Here is a 19,423-nt window from a genome sequence, read left to right as displayed (position 1 = left end):
TTTTATTTTTTGACAGAATCTCCCTCTGTCACCCAGACTGGAGTGCAGTGGCACAATTCTGGCTCACTGCAACCATTGCCTCCTGGGTTCAAGCAATTCTCCTGCCTCAGCCTCCCAAGTAGCTGGGTTTCAGGTGCCTGCCATCATGCCCAGCTAATTTTTGTATTTTTGTATTTTTGTAGAGACAGGGTTTCACCTTTTTGACCTGGCTCGTCTTGAACCCCTGACATCAGGTGATCTACTCACCTTGTCCTTCCCAAGTGCTGGAATTACAGCTATGAGCCACCTCACCCACCCTTGAATGAATGTATTCTTGACTTCTACCCTATCCCTAACACTGTCAATTTCTTGCTTCACGAACTGAATATAGATATGTGATATGAACGGATATCTGACTCAATCCATTAATCTGGGGAGAGCCAAAAACCCAATCAGGATTAACTGGATGGAGCTTCACAAATGCAATCAGATATTGCTTTTTGATTGGAAGCTAGCAGTGCAAACGTGGAAGGGCATGGGTGGGAGTTGTGATTAGAAAGGTCAATAAAATCTTCTAAAGACCCACAGGAGAGACCCAAAGTCTTCAAGCCTGGAGTTCCTGCTTGGTTCTTCCTGAGGTCTGAGCACCTTCTAGACTACATCCAGATCTGGTAAGTCACTAATTTCTGTAAGGACACTCCCATCTGACCTACAGTCAGTCAGTCTGGGATGGTGACAGTGCAGCCTACGATGGCACAGAGCTATATCCTGTCCTTTTTTTTTCTCATATGAACAATTTGAAGCTTTGAATTTTTTCCTCTAAATGCAGTTCTGTCTTTATTTCAAAAAAGTTGATTGTGCTTTGGTTGATGTCATTTCAAAATTCTTGAAGGGAGCAGTGACTCATGCCTTTAACCCCAACACATTGGGAGGCCAAAGTGGGAGGATCATTTCAGCCCAGGGGTTTGAGACCAACCTGGGCAACATGACAAAAGCCCTCCTCTACACAACGTTTTTTTTTTTTTTTGAGGGTGGGGATGGAGTCTCACTGTGTTGCCCAGACTGGAGTGCAGTGGCATGATCTCAACTCACTGCAACCTTTACCTCCCGGGTTCAAGCAATTCTCATGCCTCAGTCTCCATCCTCAGAAGCTGGTGTCACAGACATCTGAAACCATGCCTCGCTAATTTTTGTATTTTTAGTAGAGGTGGGGTTTCACCATGCTGGCCAGGTTGGTGTCGAACACCTGACCTCAAGTGATCCACCTGCCTTGGCCTCCCAAAGTGCTGGGATTACAGCTGTGAGTCACTGGTGCTTGGCCTCTACTTTTTTTTTTTTTAATTAGCCGAGCATGGTGACATGCATCTGTAGTCCCAGCTATTTGGGTGGCTGGTGTGGGAGAATCACTTGAGCCCAGAAGATTGAGGCTGCAGTGAGCCATGCTCATACCACTCCTGTACTCCAGCCTGGGCAAAAGAGAGACACCCTGTCCAAAAAACAAAAACAAAATCAATCAAAAAGGATCTTTGACCTTAATTTTAAACCAATCACATCCTCTTCCACCCAAATGGAGACATGGCTGTGGGGGGTGCATGCCTGTAGTCCCAGCTACGTGGAAGGCTGAAGCATGAGAATTGCTTGAATCTTGGAGGCCGAGGTAACAGTGAGCCGATATGACACCACTGCACTCTAGCCTGGCCGATGAAGTGAGATTCAGCTCCCTCAACACCAAAAAGAATTACGCCACCTAGGTGATCTTTGGATATATGAAGATTTCTACTGTGTTTTCTTAGGGACTGTCATCTCTGTCTTTGAAAACTGTTTTAACTCTGAAATATTTTGATAAATTTGACATGGCCAAGGATCCCTCAACAAAGATACTTTCAAGTTTTCTTTCTTTCTGTCTAATATCAGGAAGAGGTTCAACCCTTCCCTATCTCACACTCAGGACTTTGAAGGACACATATTAGTAAAACTCCATGTTTGTGAAGGGAATCAGTGAATGAGTCCTGGACTTTCACCCTATCCCTAAATCTTTCATTTTGATGGATGAATATCTAATTCGATCAGTTAATATTTAAGAAAGTCAGAAATCCAATCAGGATTAACTGGGTAGAGATTAAGAATTCTAATCAAATGTAGCTCTCTCTGTCTCTCTGTTCAATCTAGCCTATTTCCCAGGCTGGAGTGGAGTGGTATAATGTCAGCTCACTGCAACTTCTGCCTCCTGGGTTCAAGTGATCCTCCTACCTCAGCCTCCCTATTAGCTTGGACTACAGGCGGAGACCACTGCATCTCACTGAAATTTTCAATAATGAGGCTGGGGCGGAGGCTCACACCTATAATCCCACTATGTTGGGAGGCCAAGAGGGGTAGATTGCTTGAGACTAGGAGTTCAAGACCAGCTTGGACAACATAGCGAAATCCACTGTCTTTACAAAAAGTCAAAAAATAAAAGATGAGCTGGGTGTGGTGATGCATAACTGTGGTCCCAGCTACTTGAGAGGCTGAGGAGGAAGAATCCTTTGAGCTGGGAGGTCAAGGCTGCACTGAGCTGAGATCCCACCACTACACTCCAGGCTGGGTGACAGCAAGACCCTGTCAGAAAGAGAGTGAGAGAGGGAGAGAGAGAAAGAGAGAGAGAATGAGAGAAGGGAGGCAGGGAAAGAAGACAAGAAAGAAAGAAGGGAGAGAGAGGAGGAAAGAAAGAAAGAAGGGAGGGAGAGAGGGAAAGAAGGAAAAAAGAAAGAGAGAAAGAGAAAGCAAGCTTAAATAATGAAAAGAAAACAAATAGAACCTGTTCTAGGGATGCCCCATGAATGTTCCCAACAAGCTTATTTTTAGGAACTGAAATTGTGGGCATGTAGGCTTGTGACACTCCCATTCCCATTGTTTTAGAACCTTAAGTAATTAATAATTTCCCCCAATGGTAGGAGGGGTTCACTTTCAGGTTCCTCCACACTCACTAGTCACTGGATGGAGCACTGGATAGAAAGGAAGGGCTCGTGGTGGCCCTGCTTCCTCACTGCTTCGGAGACGCTCATGCTGATGCAGCAGAGGCAGAATGCTGGCTTAATGGCCACTGAGTACAGAGTAGAATTGGAGTAAACTGAGGGCTGTTTCACCATTGCCAGAGCAGTGACTTTGGCCCTGGGAGAAGATGAGATTGCATGGGCTTGGCCTGAGAGTGATGCCTTTTCTCTGGGTTTGTCCTCTGGAAGTTTTCCCTGCAGATTCATGAAGATGAGCATCCGGATTCCACCCAGACTCCTGGAGCTTGCGGGGCGGAGCCTGCTGAGGGACCAAGCCTTGGCCGTCTCCACCCTGGAGGAGCTGCCCACGGAACTTTTCCCCCCACTGTTCATGGAGGCCTTCAGCAGGAGACGCTGTGAGGCCCTGAAGCTGATGGTGCAGGCCTGGCCCTTCCGCCGCCTCCCTCTGAGGCCTCTGATAAAGATGCCTTGTCTGGAGGCCTTCCAAGCTGTGCTCGATGGGCTGGATGCACTGCTTACCCAAGGGGTTCGTCCCAGGTGAGGTGGCCCAGGTGGGCTGGTGGGGAGGGCCCAGGTGTCCAACTGAAGGAACAGCTGGGTCATGTGAAGTGAGGAGGCCCAAGGGGGATGGTGGTGGTGAGGAAGCCGAGAGGACTTGGCCATTCACCAGCTCCTCAGGGAAAGCACTGCTCACCAGGCAAGGTCCATAGAGGTAACAGGAACCTCTCCTCTAATGGCACTGAAAGGCACCATGAAAAGTGAGAACTGGGCCGGGCACGGTGGCTCACAATGTAATCCCAGCCCATTGGGAGGCTGAGGTCAAGAGTTGGAGGCCAGCCTGTCCAACATGGTAAACCCCAACTCTACTAAAAATACTAAAATTAGCTGGGCATGGTGGTGGGTTCCTGTAATCCCAGCTACTTGTGAGGTTGAGGCAGGAGAATCATTTGAACCCGGGAAGAAGAGGTTGCAGTGAGGTGACATCACACCACTGCACTCTAGCCTGGGCGACAGAAGGAGACTTGGTCTCAAAAAAAAAACAAAAAAATGTGGAAGTGGGTAGGATCCAAGGGGAAAACAGGGTGAAGAAAACTCAGAGAGAGGGACAACAAGCAGGGAGGGGAGGAGCTGCTATGCAGGATGTGGAGTTTAAGTTCAGAAATGAGTTCTTAAATTCTCAGTCTCACCTCTATTTTCCCACAGGAGATGGAAACTTCAAGTGCTGGATTTACAGGATGTCTGTGAGAACTTCTGGATGGTTTGGTCTGAAGCTATGGCCCATGGGTGCTTCCTCAATGCCAAGAGGAACAAAAAACCAGTGCAGGACTGTCCAAGGATGAGAGGACGGCAGCCCTTGACTGTGTTTGTAGAACTTTGGCTCAAGAACAGGACTCTGGATGAATACCTCACCTGCCTCCTTCTATGGGTCAAGCAGAGGAGAGATTTACTACACCTGTGCTGTAAGAAGCTGAAAATTTTGGGAATGCCCTTCCGCAATATCAGAAGCATCCTGAAAATGGTGAACCTAGACTGTATCCAGGAGGTGGAAGTGAATTGCAAGTGGATACTGCCCATCCTGACACAGTTTACCCCATACCTGGGCCACTTGAGGAATCTTCAGAAGCTCGTTCTCTCCCACATGGATGTCTCTCGCTACGTTTCCCCAGAGCAGAAGAAGGAGATTGTTACCCAGTTCACCACTCAGTTCCTCAAGCTGCGCTGCCTCCAAAAGCTTTATATGAACTCTGTTTCTTTCCTCGAAGGCCACCTGGACCAGCTGCTCAGGTGAGGGAGGGTGGTGAGCTTTCTCTGCAGACCACAGCAGAGCCTGTTACAGTGAACACTAGTGGGCATCTACTGTGAGCCAGCCTATGAGGATGTAACAGTGAAGGGGACACTAGAATGTCCATGCATTGTCCTGTTGGCGGCCCTGTCCTGAAATGGGTATCATGCAACCCTCCCAATAGAGTCAGAGGGATCAGTCAGGGGAGATGCTATAGAGAGGCTGCCATGCTAGGAAGCTAGCTACTGGGGGGTTCAGATCTAGTGAGGGTGCCTTTCTGAATTCTTCCTGAGGATGTGTGTCTAAGTTAAGATGATGAAAAATAGGCCAGGGGCGTTGGCTCATGCCTGTAATCCTAGCAGTTTGGGAGTCTGAGGCAAGAGGATAGCTTGAGCCTAGGAGTTTAAGAGCAGTCTGGGTAACATCCCAAGACCCCTGTCAGAAATGAATAAATAAAAGTAAAATCAAACAAGATAACTTTTTTTTCTGAGATGGATTTTCACTTTGATCATCCAGGGTAGAGTGCACTTGTGACATCTCAGCTCGCAGCAACTTCTGCCTCCCAGGTTCAAGCGATTCTCCTGCCTCAGCCTCCTGAGTACCTGGGATTACAGGCGTGGGCCACCACACCTGGCTAATTTTTATATTTTAAGTAGAGACAGGTTTTCACCATTTTGGCCAGGTTATTCTCCAACCCCTGATTTCAGGTGATCCACCCACCTTGGACTCCCAAAGTGCTGGGATTATAGGCGAGAGCTACCACGCCCAGCCAACAAGATAATTTTTAAGAAGATGATGTGAAGTAGGGAAGTGAAGTGGGCACTGAAGAGGGGAATGCTCAGCAAACCTGCACATGTCAGAAAATCAGCTTTGTGCCCCACAGTTTGGTGAACATGAATGATCCCATCTCTAATTCCCATTGTAAAAGTTTCTTTTGAGCTCCAGGTAAATTAATTACCTAGGAAATGTATGATTCTGAAACAGAGGGTCAGGGAGCAGGCACAAAGAATGATGAAAGTGATAGATGGTTTGCTGATGATACAGGTGTGTCAGGGACGCCTGCAGCCTGCCCACCCCAGCTGATGTTGCAGGATCCTGTCTGGGTTTGTCCTTTATGCCTGCATCTCCACTGGGCTTCTGTGGCCCAGGGATGTGGTTTTCTGCCTGACAGATGAGGAAAGGGAGCTTTAGGGATTCTGTGAACTTGATCCATTCCTATAAATGATGGTGAAATGACTCAGCCTGAAATGGAATTATTTTTTCTCCTTTTTTTTTTTTTAATAGAGTATCACTCTGTCACCCAGGCTGGAGTGTAGTGGCATGATCTCTGCTCACTGCAACCTACACCTCCTGGGTTCAAGCGATTCTTCTGCCTCAGCTTCCCAAGTAGCTGGAATTGCAGGCTCCCGCCACCACACCTGGCTAATTTTTGGATTTTTAGTAGAGACGAGGTTTTGCCATGTTCAGCAGGCTGGTCTCAAACTCCTGATCTCAAGGAATCCACCAGTCTCAGCCTCCCAAAGTGCTGGGATTACAGGTGTGAGTTACTGGGCCGGGCCTAAAGTGGAATTGACCTCGGTGGCAAAGCTCTTCATCACACATCATCCGAAGTGTTGACCATCCGGCCATGAGAATGATCCTGGACTTGGGCAAAATGGTCTCCATCCATTACCTTGAAGCCATTCCCCACCACCCTCCACTCACCCCTATGATTCCCCAGAATTAACTTCTTGCTCTCTCTCCCCAGCTGTCTGAAGACCTCGTTAAAGGTCCTCACAATAACTAACTGTGTGCTTTTGGAATCAGACTTGAAGCATCTATCCCAGTGCCCGAGTATCAGTCAACTAAAGACCCTGGACCTGAGTGGCATCAGACTGACCAATTACAGTCTTGTGCCTCTCCAAATTCTCCTAGAAAAAGTTGCAGCCACCCTTGAGTACCTGGATTTAGATGACTGTGGCATCATAGACTCCCAAGTCAACGCCATCCTGCCTGCCCTGAGCCGCTGCTTTGAGCTCAACACCTTCAGCTTCTGTGGAAATCCCATCTGCATGGCCACCCTGGAGAACCTGCTGAGCCACACAATCATACTCAAAAACTTATGCCTGGAGCTGTATCCTGCCCCGCAGGAAAGTTATGGTGCTGATGGTACTCTCTGCTGGAGCAGATTTGCTCAAATTAGGGCTGAGCTGATGAAGAAAGTGAGGCACTTAAGGCACCCCAAGAGGATCTTGTTCTGTACTGACAACTGCCCTGACCATGGCGACAGGTCATTTTATGACCTGGAGGCAGATCAATACTGCTGTTGAATGCCTGCCTATTTGGATGGGTATGTCAAACGCTTTCTTCTGGACACTTGGAAACTAAAACCTAGGTCTTAGGTACATCCTAAAGGGAGCACAGAACCCATCGTTTCACACATGGGCTCTGAAAGTGGGAAAGGAAAGCTGATCAAGCAGGGGCAGGACTTGGGGGAAATGTTGCCATGGATTCAATGGGACTTTGGGAACCTGTATCCTGTAGAGTCGAAAATGGGAATCTGAATGTCTAGAGTGGAATTCAGGCTTGAGAATACATGAGGGAGTTACTCTTGCATGGATGGTTGTAAAGAAACAATCAGAAATAAAGGAAAACTGAGCAGAATCTGTCTGGTGCCCTCTATTATTAAGTAACCTGTTTTCCAGTTTAAGCCTCAGGAATCTTCAGTTATTGATGGAAAAAACAAAAGGCACTGACTGAGTTGTCCAATCAATAAGATGCAGCCCAAGAAAATCAAGGCATTTAAATGAAATTTGGTTATTGTAACCAGTTTCCTCCCATTCTTTTATTTGAGACAGAGTTTCACTCTTGTCGCCCAGGCTGGAGTTTAGAGTGCAATGGTGCCATCTCAGCTGACTGCAACCTCCACCTGGGGTTTAAATGATTCTCCTGCCTCAGCCTCCCAAGTAGCTGGGATTACAAGCATGCACCACCATGCCCAGCTAATTTGTGTATGTTTAGTAGAGACAGGGTTTCCTCACTATGTTGGCCAGGCTGGTCTCAAACTCCTGACTTTGGGTGATTCACGCAAGTAGGCCTACCAAAGTGCTGGGGTTACAGGTGTGAGCCACTGTGTCAGGCTTTTGTTTTTGTTTTTGTTTTTGTTTTTTAAAGGTCTCCTGTCACTCAGGCTACAGTGCAGTGGCACAATCATACCTCATTGCAGCCTCAATTTCCTGGGTTCAAGCGATCTTCCCACCTCAGCCTCCTGAGTAGCTAGGACTACAGCTGTGTGAGCCACCACACCTGGATACTTTTTTTTAGTAGAAACAAGGCCTCGCTGTCTTCCCCAGGCTGATCTGGAACTCCTGAGCTTGTGATTCTCCTGCCTTGGCCTCCCAAAATGCAGGGAGTATAGGCGTGGACCACCACGCTTGGCTTGGCCTCCTCCAGTTCTTCACTTCTTTAGATGTCTGTTAACTCCTTGTTAGTTTCTGTGGCTGTTCAGTGGGTTAATACACACTAGGTGGACACCAAAGGCCTGGAACATTGCTGGGCAAGAACAGTGAGCCAATCCACACGGAAAGCACCTTCTTCTCAGCGTCTTTCACCGCTATCCAGATGCTGAGACCCTGCCCACTCCCTGTGAGTCTCCACATGCTTCCAGAAGCCTTAGTTGGTGGATGTCAGCTTCACTGCACAAGGAGCCAGTCTCTTCCCGCTGCCCTGGAAGGGGATGTCCATATTGTGTATTAGCTGGAGACTCTGGGCAGCACCAACCCTTGCTTGTTCCCCTGATGACCAGCAGCCCTTCTTGAATTAAACTTGTTGTAGCCAGTAAAGACAGCCACATTCCCTTTAAGTAAAATACTAAAACTATACAGGCATGTAACACTTTTTAAATATTTCCATCTGACATTTTAAAAGTTACATCTTTTTGGGGAGCTAGGTCAGATTGATGAGAGATTTTCTCATAACACCTTCCCTCTCTCCCTATGAAGGAAGTGACTAGTGCAGCATGTTCTGGAATCTGACATCATCAAAGGGTGGATAACGATCAAGTGCCTGTGGGTGATGAGTGACCTTCCCTGTGGTGAGGAAGCCTGCATAGTGGGCACCCAAGTGAAGGATCCTGCTGTGTACTCAGGGGCTGGTGTTGCTGTCAGGGATGTTAGCCTAGAGCCTCAGCTTCCTGTAAAATGAGGATGATGATATCCAACAGCTTATGGGACCTTGGTAGGATCCAATGAGATGGTTCATGTTTAGGGCTTGGCATGGGGTCTGGCATACAGTAAGATCAATACATCTTGTTCTTTTTTCTCTTCTCAGCAGAAGTCCCAGCATTTTTCATCTTTCAATCTCACCTCCTTTTCCTGATAATAGAGAGGCAACAAGAACTCAGGGCATGCAATGGGGCTCAACTTCTACTCTCTGCCACAATTTCATCATGATTCCCCCAAAGAGCAGAGCCCCAGGAGCCAGCAGGGGGCAGGGTGGGCATTTCTGGACTGGATTCATTCATAATAAGATCAAAATTTCCAATCCGTATGTCTCGGGTGCCATCTGCTGATAGATCGGACCAGATGGTATAATTGAGTGTTGCAAGGATTATATTTTATGGTGTTTTTAAAAATGTACTATTATGAGCCAGGTGCAGTGGCTCATGCCTGTAATTCCAGCACTTTGGGAGGCTGAGGCAGGTGGATCACCTGAGGTCGGGAGTTTGAGACCAGCCTGAGCAACATGAAGAAACCCCTTCTCTACTTAAAATACAAAAAATAGCCAGGCGTGGTGGCACACGTCTGTAATTGCAGCTACTCGATAGGCTGAGGCGGGAGAATCGTTTGAACCTGGGAGGTGGAGGTTGCGGTGAGCTCAGACTGAGCCATTGCACTCCAGCCTGGGCAACAGTAGCAAAACTCCATCTCAAAAAAAAGATAAAATAACATTTATTATTATGGCTGGGCATGGTGTCTCACACCTCTAATCCCAGCACTTTGGGAGGCCGAGGCAGCCTCGGGATGTTGAGACCAGCCTTGCTAACATGGTGAAACCCCGTCTCTACTAAAAATACACAAAATTTGCTGGGAGTGGTGGCATTCGCCTGTAATCCTAGGTATTCAGGAGGCTGAGGCAGGACAATCACTTGAACCCGGGAGGAGAAGATTGCAATGAGACGAGATCGCGCCACTGCTCTCTAGCCTGGGCGACAGAGCATGAAAAAAAAATTTACTATAGTGTGAATACTATTAGAGTATAACTATTTGTGTTGTAATTTATGTATATGAAAGATTAGAACTTTGAAAGAATGCAACGTGATATTTTAAGAATGGTTAATGGCCAGGTGTGGTGGTTCATGCCTGTATTCCTGGCACTTTGGGAGGCCGAGGTGGGTAGATCACGAGGTCAGGAGTTCCAGACCAGCCTGTCCAACATGATGAAACCCGGTCTCTACGAAAAATACAAAAAATTAGCCTGGCGTGGTGACAGGTGCCTGTAATCCCAGATAGTCAGGAGGCTGAGGCAAGAGAATCGCTTGAACCTGGGAGGCAAAGGTTGCAGTGAGCCGAGAATGCACCACTGCACTCCAGCCTGGGTGAAAGAGGAAGACTCCGTCCCAAGGAGGGTGAGAAAAAGAATACTTAACTTGGTTTGAAATGTCAAAACAAATGAGATTTTGAAAACTAATTTTAAAGACACTGAACAATAATCATTTCTTCTTTAAAATATATTTAGAACAATACAATTTTATCTTTGAAAGGAAACATTACAGTTTTTAAAAATCTTGAGTTTATTTCATTTTATTTTATTTTGAGACAAGGTCTCACTCTGTCGTCCAGATTGGAGTGCAGTGGCATGATCACGGCTCACTGCAGCCTTGACCTCCTAGGCTCAGGTGATCTCCCTGCCTCAGTCCCCCTGGTAGCTGGAACGACAGGCATGCACCATCATGCCTGGCTTATTTTTGCCAGGTTTCACCATGTTGCCCAGACTGGTCTTGAAATTCTGGGCTCAAGCGATCCACCTGCCTCGGCCTCCTAAATTGCTGGGAGTGAGCCCTTATAGGCATGAGCCACCGCACCCAGCCTTGAGTTTATTTATTTATTTATTTTGGAGATGGAGTCTCATTCTGTCATCCAGGCTGGAGTGCAGTGGTACGATCTCAGTTCACTGCAACCTCTGCCTCCAGGGTTCGAGCAATTCTCCTGTGTCAGCCTCCAGAGTAGCTGGGATTACAGGCATGCACCACCACACCTGGATAATTTTTGTATTATAATTATTATTATTTTTTAATAGAGACAGGGTTTGTCATTTTAGTCAGGCTGATCTCGAACCCCTGACCTCAGGTGATCCACCCACCTCAGCTTCCCAAAATGCTACGACTATAGACGTGAGCCACCACGCCCAGCCTATTTTTTTCTTTATAGCAGCTTTAGATTCACAGAAAAACTAAGCAGAAACTGCAGAGTTCTCATCTACCTTCTTCCCCCTTCAATACACAGCACCCCCACAGGATCAGCACCCACACCAGCACAGAGCATTCGTCACAATCAATGAGCCACAGGGACACATCATTATCACCCAATGTCCATAGTTCACATGGGGGATCATTGCTGGTTTTGTACATTCTATGGATTTTAACAAAGGGATAATGACACATATCCACCATTAGAGCATCATGGAGACTAGTTTTGTTCCCCTAAAAGTCCTCTGTCCTCTTCCCATTCATCCCATTGTACTCCCAACCCCTCACAACCACTGGGCTTTCTACTATCTCCATAGAAAAAGGCAAATGTCTAACAGGATGAGTCTTTTCACATTGCCTTCTTTCACTTGTACAATAACGTGCATTTAAGAATCTTTCATGTCTTTTTAAGGCTTCATAATAGTTCACTGACTGGATGGATCAGTTTGCTTATCCAGTCACTGACTGAAGGCCAACTTGCTAGCTTCCAGGTTTTAGTGATTATGAATAAGCTACTATAAACATCCAGCTGTGGGTTTACTCATTTCATTAAATATCCAGGAGCATGATTACGGAATTGTAGGGGTATGGTATGTTTTACAATGATTTCTTCTTTCTTGACAATCTCACTTGTTCGATATTGCTGCTAAAGGTCAGGAACTTTGTCTCAATCATCCTATGTTCCTACTGCTGAGCATGGAACGTGGCACTTGGTAGCAAATGCTGTTGACCACGTGATGCATGGAAACGTTTATCATGGGTATAGTCACTAAATTGCTACCTTGGCGACATCAACATTAGCTCACTACCAATAATATAAATAAATTGGATTATGGAAAAAATGGCCCTTGTGATACTGTGGATACTCCATGTGTATCATGAAAGTCCAGCAATTGACAAGGCACAGTGGCTCACATCTGTAATCCCAGCACTTTCAGAGACTAAGGTGGGTGGATCACTTCAGTCAGGAGTTTGAGACGACTCTGGCCAATATGATGAAACCCTTTCTCTATTAAAGACACAAAAATTAACTAGGGGGTTGAGCCAAGATGGCCGAATAGGAACAGCTCCAGTCTACAGCTCCCAGCATGAACAGTGCAGAAGACGGGTGATTTCTGCATTTCCAACTGAGGTACCAGGTTCAACTCAATGGAGAGTGTCAGAAAGTGGGTGCAGGACAGTGGGTGCAGTGCATCGAGCGTGAGCCAAAGCAGGGCAAGGCATTGCCTCTCCTGGGAAGGGCAAGGGGTCAGGGAATTCCCTTTCTTAGTCAAAGAAAGGGGTGACAGACGGCACCTGGAAATTCAGGTCACTCCCACCCTAATACTGCACTTTTCCAATGGTCTTAGCAAATGGCACACCAGGAGATTTTATCCCATGCCTGGCTCAGAGGGTCCTATGCCCATGGAGCCTCACTCATTGCTAGCAGAGCAGTCTGAGATCAAACTGCAAGGCGGCAGCAAGGCTGGGGGAGGGGCGCCTGCCATTGCCGAGGCTTGAGTACGTAGACAAAGCAGCCAGGTGGCTGGAACTGGGTGGAGCCCACTGCAGCTCAAGGAGGCCTGCCTGCCTCTGTAGACTCCACTTCTGGGGGCCGGGCATTGCCAAACAAAAGGCAGCAGAATCCTCTGCAGACTTAAATGTCCCTGTCTGTCTGACAGCTTTGAAGAGAGTAGTGGTTCTCCCAGCATGCAGCTGGAGATCTGAGAACGGACAGATTGCCTCCTCAAGTGGGTCCCTGACCCCTGAGTAGCCTAACTGGGAGGCACACCCCAGTAGAGGCAGACTGACACCTCACATGGCCAGGTACTCCTCTGAGACAAAATTTCCAGAGGAACGATCAGGCAGCAATATTTGCTGTTCACCAATATTCGCTGTTCTGCAGCCTCTTCTGCTGATACCCAGGCAAACAGGTTCTGGAGTGGACCTCCAGCAAACTCCAACAGACTTGCAGCTGAGGGTCCTGACTGTTAGAAGGAAAACTAACAAACAGAAAGGACATCCACACCAAAACCCCATCTGTACATCAGCATCATCAAAGACCAAAGGTAGATAAAACCACAAAGATGGGGAAAAAACAGAGCAGAAAAATGGGAAACTCTAAAAATCAGAGTGCCTCTCCTCCTCCAAAGGAATGCAGCTCCTCACCAGCAATGGAACAAAGCTGGATGGAGAAGGACTTTGATGAGTTGAGAGAAGAAGGCTTCAGATGATCAAACTACTCTGAGCTAAAGGAGGAAGTTCGAACCCATGGCAAAGAAGTCAAAAACATTGAAAAAAAAATTAGAAGAATGGCTAACTAAAATAACCAATGCAGAGAATTCCTTGAAGGACCTGATGGAGTTGAAAACCATGGCATGAGAACTACGTGACAAATGTACAAGCCTCAGTAGCTGATTCAATCAACTAGAAGAAAGGGTATTAGTGATGGAAGATCAAATGAATGAAATGAAGTGAGAAGAGAAGTTCAGAGAAAAAAGAATAAAAGGAAATGAACAAAGCCTCCAAGAAATATGGGACTATGTGAAAAGACCAAATCTATATCTGACTGGTGTACCTGAAAGTGATGGGGAGAATGGAACCAAGCTGGAAAACACTCTTCAGGATATTATCCAGCAGAACTTTCCCAATCTAGCAAGGCAGGCCAACATTCAAATTCAGGAAATACAGAGAATGCCACAAAGATACTCCTTGAGAAAAGCAACTCCAAGAAACATAATTGTCAGATTCACCAAAGTTGAAATGAAGGAAAAAATGTTAAGGGCAGCCAGGGAGAAAGGTCGGGTTACCCACAAAGGGAACCCCATCAGACTAACAGCGGATCTCTTGGCAGAAACTTTACAAGCCAGAAGAGAGTGGGGGCCAATATTCAACATTCTTAAAGAAAAGAATTTTCAACCCAGAATTTCATATCCAACCAAACTAAGCTTCATAAGTGAAGGAGAAATAAATTTCCTTACAGACAAGCAAATGCTGAGAGATTTTGTCACCACCAGGCCTGCCCCACAAGAGCTCCTGAAGGAAGTGCTAAACACGGAAAGGAACAACTGGTACAAGCCACTTCAAAAACATGCCAAATTGTAAAGACCATCAAGGCTAGGAAGAAACTGCATCAACTAACGAGCAAAATAACCAGCTAACATCATAATGACAGGATCAAATTCACACATAACAATATTACCCTAAAATGTAAATGGGCTAAATGCTCCAATTAAAAGACACAGACTGGCAAATTGGATAAAGAGTCAAGACCCATCAGTGTGCTGTATTCAGGAAACCCATCTCACGTGCAGAGACACACATAGGCTCAAAATAAAGGGATGGAGGAAGATCTACCAAGCAAATGGAAAACACAAAAAGGCAGGAGTTGCAATCCTAGTCTTGGATAAAACAGACTTTAAACCAACAAAGATCAAAAGAGACAAAGAAGGCCATTACATCATGGTAAAGGGATCCATTCAACAAGAAGAGCTAACTATCCTAAATATAGATGCACCCAATACAGGAGCACCCAGATTCATAAAGCAAGTCCTTAGAGACCTACAAAGAGACTTAGACTCCCACACAATAATAATGGGAGACTTCAACACCCCACTGTCAACTTTAGACACATCAATGAGACAGAAAGTTAACAAGGATATACAAGAATTGAACTCAGCTCTGCGCCAAGCGGACCTAATAGACATCTACAGAACTCACAATCCAAAATCAACAGAATATACATTCTTCTCAGCACCACACTGCACTTATTCCAAAAATTGACCACATAGTTGGAAGCAAAGCACTCCTCAGCAAATGTAAGAGAACAGAAATTATAACAAACTGTCTCTCAGGCCACAGTGCAATCAAACTAGAACTCAGGATTAAGAAACTCACTCAGTGTGTGATGTTCCCTTTCCTGTGTCCATGTGTTCTCATTGTTCAACTCCCACCTATGAGCGAGAACATGCAGTGTTTGGTTTTTTGTGCTTGTGATACTTTGCTGAGAATGATGGTTTCCAGCTTCATCCATGTCCCTACAAAGGACATGAACTCATCATTTTTTATGGCTGCATAGGATACCATTAGGAGGTATACCTAAGGCTAAATGACGAGTTAATGTGTGCAGCACACCAACATGGCACACGTATACATATGTAACAAACCTGCACGTTGTTCACATGTACCCTAAAACTTAAAGCATAATAATAATAATAAAAGAAACTCACTCAAAACCGCTCAACTACATGGAAATTGAACAACCTGCTCCTGAATGACTACTGGGTACATAACGAAATGAAGACAGAAATAAAGACATTCTTTGAAACCAATGAGAAAAAAGACACAACATACCAGAATATCTGGGACACATTCAAAGCAGTGTGTAGAGGGAAATTTATAGCACTAAATGCCCACAAGAGAAAGCAGAAAAGATCTAAAATTGACAACCTAACATCACAATTGAAAGAACTTCTCACTCATAGGTGGGAATTGAACAATGAGATCACATGGACACAGGAAGGGGAATATCACACTCTGGGGACTGTGGTGGGGTCGGGGGGAGGGGGGAGGGATAGCATTGGGAGATATACCTAATGCTAGATGACACATTAGTGGGTGCAGTGCACCAGCATGGCACATGTATACATATGTAACTAACCTGCACAATGTGCACATGTACCCTAAAACTTAGAGTATAATAAAAAAAAAAAAAAGAAAGGAAAAAAAAAAAAAAAAAAAAAAGAAAGAACTAGAGAAGCAAGAGCAAACATATTCAAAAGCTAGCAGAAAGCAAGAAATAGCTAAGATCAGAGCAGACCTGAAGGAAATAGAGACACAAAAAACCCTTCAAAAAATCAATGAATCCAGGAGTTGGTTTTTTGAAAAGATCAACAAAATTGATAGACTGCTAGCAAGACTAATAAAGAAGAAAAGAGAGAAGAAACAAATAGATGCAATAAAAAATGATAAAGGGCATATCATCACGGATCCCACAGAAAGACAAACTACCATCAGAGAATACTATAAACACCTCTATGCAAATAAACTAGAAAATCTAGAAGAAATGGATTAATTCCTCGACACATACACCCTCCCATGACTAAACCAGGAAGAAGTTGAATCCCTGAATAGATCCATAATAGGCTCTGAAATTGAGGCAATAATTAATAGCTTACCAACCAAAAAAAGTCCAGGACCAGATGGATTCACAGTCGAATTCTACCAGAGGTACAAGGAGGAGCTGTTACCATTCCTTCTGAAACTATTCCAATCAATAGAAAAAGAGGGAATCCTCCCTAACTCATTTTATGAGGCCAGCATCATCCTGATACCAAAGCCTGGCAGAGACACAACAAAAAAAGAGAATTTTAGACCAATATCCCTGATGAACATCGATGCAAATATCCTCAGTAAAATACTGGCAAAGTGAATCCAGCAGCACATCAACAAGCTTATCCACCATGATCAAGTGGGCTTCATCCCTGGGATGCAAGGCTGGTTCAGCATATGAAAATCAATAAACAGAATCCAGCATGTAAACAGGACCAACGACAAAAACCATATGATTATCTCAATAGATGCAGAAAAGGCATTCGACAAAATTCAAAAACCTTCATGCTAAAAACTCTCAGTAAATTAGGTATTGATGGGACATATCTCAAGATAATAAGAGCCATCTATGACAAACCCACAGCCAATATCATACTGAATGGACAAAAATGGGAAGCATTCCCTTTGAAAACTGGCACCAGACAGGGATGCCCTCTCTCACCACTCCTATTCAACAAAGTGTTGAAAGTTCTGGCCAGGGTAATCAGGCAGGAGAAGGAAATAAAGGATATTCAATTAGGAAAAGAAGAAGTCAAATTGTCCCTCTTTGCAGATGACATGATTGTATATCTAGAAAATCCCATCGTCTCAGCCCAAAATCTCCTGATAGGCAACTTCAGCAAAGTCTCAGGATACAAAATCAATGTGCAAAGTCACAAGCATTCTTATACACCAATAACAGACAAACAGAGAGCAAAATCATGAGTGAACTCCCATTCACAATAGCTTCAAAGAGAATAAAATACCTAGGAATCCAACTTACAAGGGATGTGAAGGACCTCTTCAAGGAGAACTACAAACCACTGCTCAATGAAATAAAAGAGGATACAAACAAATGGAAGAACATTCCATGCTCATGGGTAGGAAGAATCAATATTGTGAAAATGGCCATACTGCCCAAGGAAATTTAAAGATTCAATGCCATCCCCATCAAGCTACCAATGACTTTCCTCACAGAATTGGAAAAAACTACTTTAAAGTTCATATGGAACCAAAAAAGAGCCCATATAGCCAAGTCAATCCTAAGCCAAAAGAATAAAGCTGGAGGCATCACGCTACCTGACTTCAAACTATACTACAAGGCTACAGTAACCAAAACAGCATGGTACTGGTACCAAAACAGAGATATAGACCAATGGAACAGAACAGAGCCCTCAGAAATAATGCCACATATCTACAACCATCTGATCTTTGACAAACCTGACAAAAATAAGAAATGGGGAAACGATTCCCTATTTAATAAATGGTGCTGGGAAAACTGGCTAGCCATATGTAGAAAGCTGAAACTGGATCCCTTCCTTACACCTTATACAAAAATTAATTCAAGATGGATTCAAGACTTAAACATTAGACCTAAAAACATAAAAACCCTAGAAGAAATCCTAGGCAATACCATTCAGGACATAGGCATGGGCAAGGACTTTAAGTCTAAAACACCAAAAGCCATGGCAATAAAAGCCAAAATTGACAAATGGGATCTAATTAAACTAAAGAGCTTCTGCACAGAAAAAGAAACTACCATCAGAGTGAACAGGCAACCTACAGAATGGGAGAAAATTTTTGCAATCTACTCATCTGAAAAAGGGCTAATATCAAGAATCTATAATGAACTCCAACAAATTTACAAAAAAGAAACAAACAACCCCATCCAAAAGCGGGTGAAGGATATGAACAGACACTTCTCAAAAGAAGACATTTATGCAGCCAAAAGAGACATGAAAAAATGCTCATCATCACATGAAAAAATGCTCATCATCACCGGCCATCAGAGAAATTCAAATCAAAACCACAATGAGATACCATCTCATACCAATTAGAATGGTGATCATTAAAAAGTCAGGAAACAAGGGGTGCTGGAGAGGATGTGGAGAAATAGGAACAGTTTTACACAGTTGGTGGGACTGTAAACTAGTTCAACCATTGTGGAAGTAAGTGTGGCAATTCGTCAGGGATCTAGAACTAGAAATACCATTTGACCCAGCCATCCCATTACTGGGTATATACCCAAAGGATTATAAATCATGCTGCTATAAAGACACATGCACAAGTATGTTTATTGCGGCACTATTCACAATAGCAAAGACTTAGAACCAACCCAAATGTCCAACAATGATAGACTGGATTAAGAAAATGTGGCACATATACAACATGGAATACTATGCAACCATAAAAAAGATGAGTTCATGTCCTTTGTAGGGACATGGATGAAGCTGAAAACCATCATTCTCAGCAAACTATCGCAAGGACATAAAACCGAACACTGCATGTTCTCACTCATAGGTGGGAATTGAACAATGAGAACACAGGGACACAGGAAGGGGAACATCACACAGAGGGGCCTGTTGTGGGGTGGGGGGAGGGGGGAGGGATATCATTTGGAGATATACCTAATGTTAAATGGCGAGTTACTGGGTGCAGCACACCAACATGGCACATGTATTCATATGTAAGTAACCTGCACATTGTACACATGTACCCTAAAACTTAAAGTATAATAAAAAAAATTAACCAGGCATGGTGGCATGTACCTGTAGTCCCAGCTACTGGAGAGGCTGAGGGAGGAGAATTGCTTGAACCCAGGATGTGGAGGTTGCAGTGATTGAAGATCGTGCCACTGCACTCCAGCCTGGGCAACAGAGCTAGATGCCATATCAGAAAAAAAAAAAAGAGAAAAGAAAACAAAACAAAAGAAAGTCCAGCATGGTAAGAGGTACATAGAGGTACATGGGGGTGAGCTTCATTTGATTTTCATCCTTTTTCCCTTCTCTGGACAGAATTCTCAATGCAAAACATTCCAAAAACACAGAGCAAATGTCTTCTATAATCTTCCCCTTATCTGTGACTTCCCTTCACAGTGTATGTGCTAGCGTCTTCCAGACTTTTTTGTATGACGTGCTATACAGAAGATCAGAT

General features: G+C 44.7%; 1 protein-coding gene and 1 long non-coding RNA gene across 3 annotated transcripts; both read left to right on the top strand.

The window, feature by feature from the left end:
• Window positions 1-595: 595 nt before the first annotated feature.
• On the top strand, window positions 596-7,401 carry PRAMEF11 (PRAME family member 11). 2 transcript variants are annotated; one of them, NM_001146344.3, is made up of 4 exons: window positions 596-650; window positions 3,201-3,509; window positions 4,176-4,757; window positions 6,503-7,401. In NM_001146344.3, the coding sequence occupies exons 2-4, from the start codon at window positions 3,217-3,219 to the stop codon at window positions 7,062-7,064; spliced, it is 1,437 nt and encodes a 478-aa protein (NP_001139816.2). In that variant the 5' UTR covers window positions 596-650; window positions 3,201-3,216; the 3' UTR covers window positions 7,065-7,401. The 2 variants fall into 2 exon arrangements, with proteins under 2 accessions (NP_001139816.2, XP_011539781.1); XM_011541479.3 differs by lacking the exon at window positions 596-650 and having other exon boundaries at window positions 3,139-3,509; window positions 6,503-7,128.
• A 1,381-nt stretch (window positions 7,402-8,782) lies between these two features.
• Window positions 8,783-9,320, top strand: LINC01784 (long intergenic non-protein coding RNA 1784). The gene is made up of 2 exons (NR_146629.1): window positions 8,783-8,970; window positions 9,067-9,320. It is a non-coding gene; the product is annotated as a long intergenic non-protein coding RNA 1784 (long non-coding RNA).
• Window positions 9,321-19,423: the final 10,103 nt, after the last annotated feature.

This window comes from Homo sapiens, chromosome 1 (assembly GCF_000001405.40).
Source record: "Homo sapiens chromosome 1, GRCh38.p14 Primary Assembly".
Taxonomy (NCBI): Eukaryota; Metazoa; Chordata; class Mammalia; order Primates; family Hominidae; genus Homo; species Homo sapiens.
The sequence above is the reverse complement of the archived record's forward strand: the minus strand, read 5'-3'. Positions and strand labels throughout refer to the sequence as shown.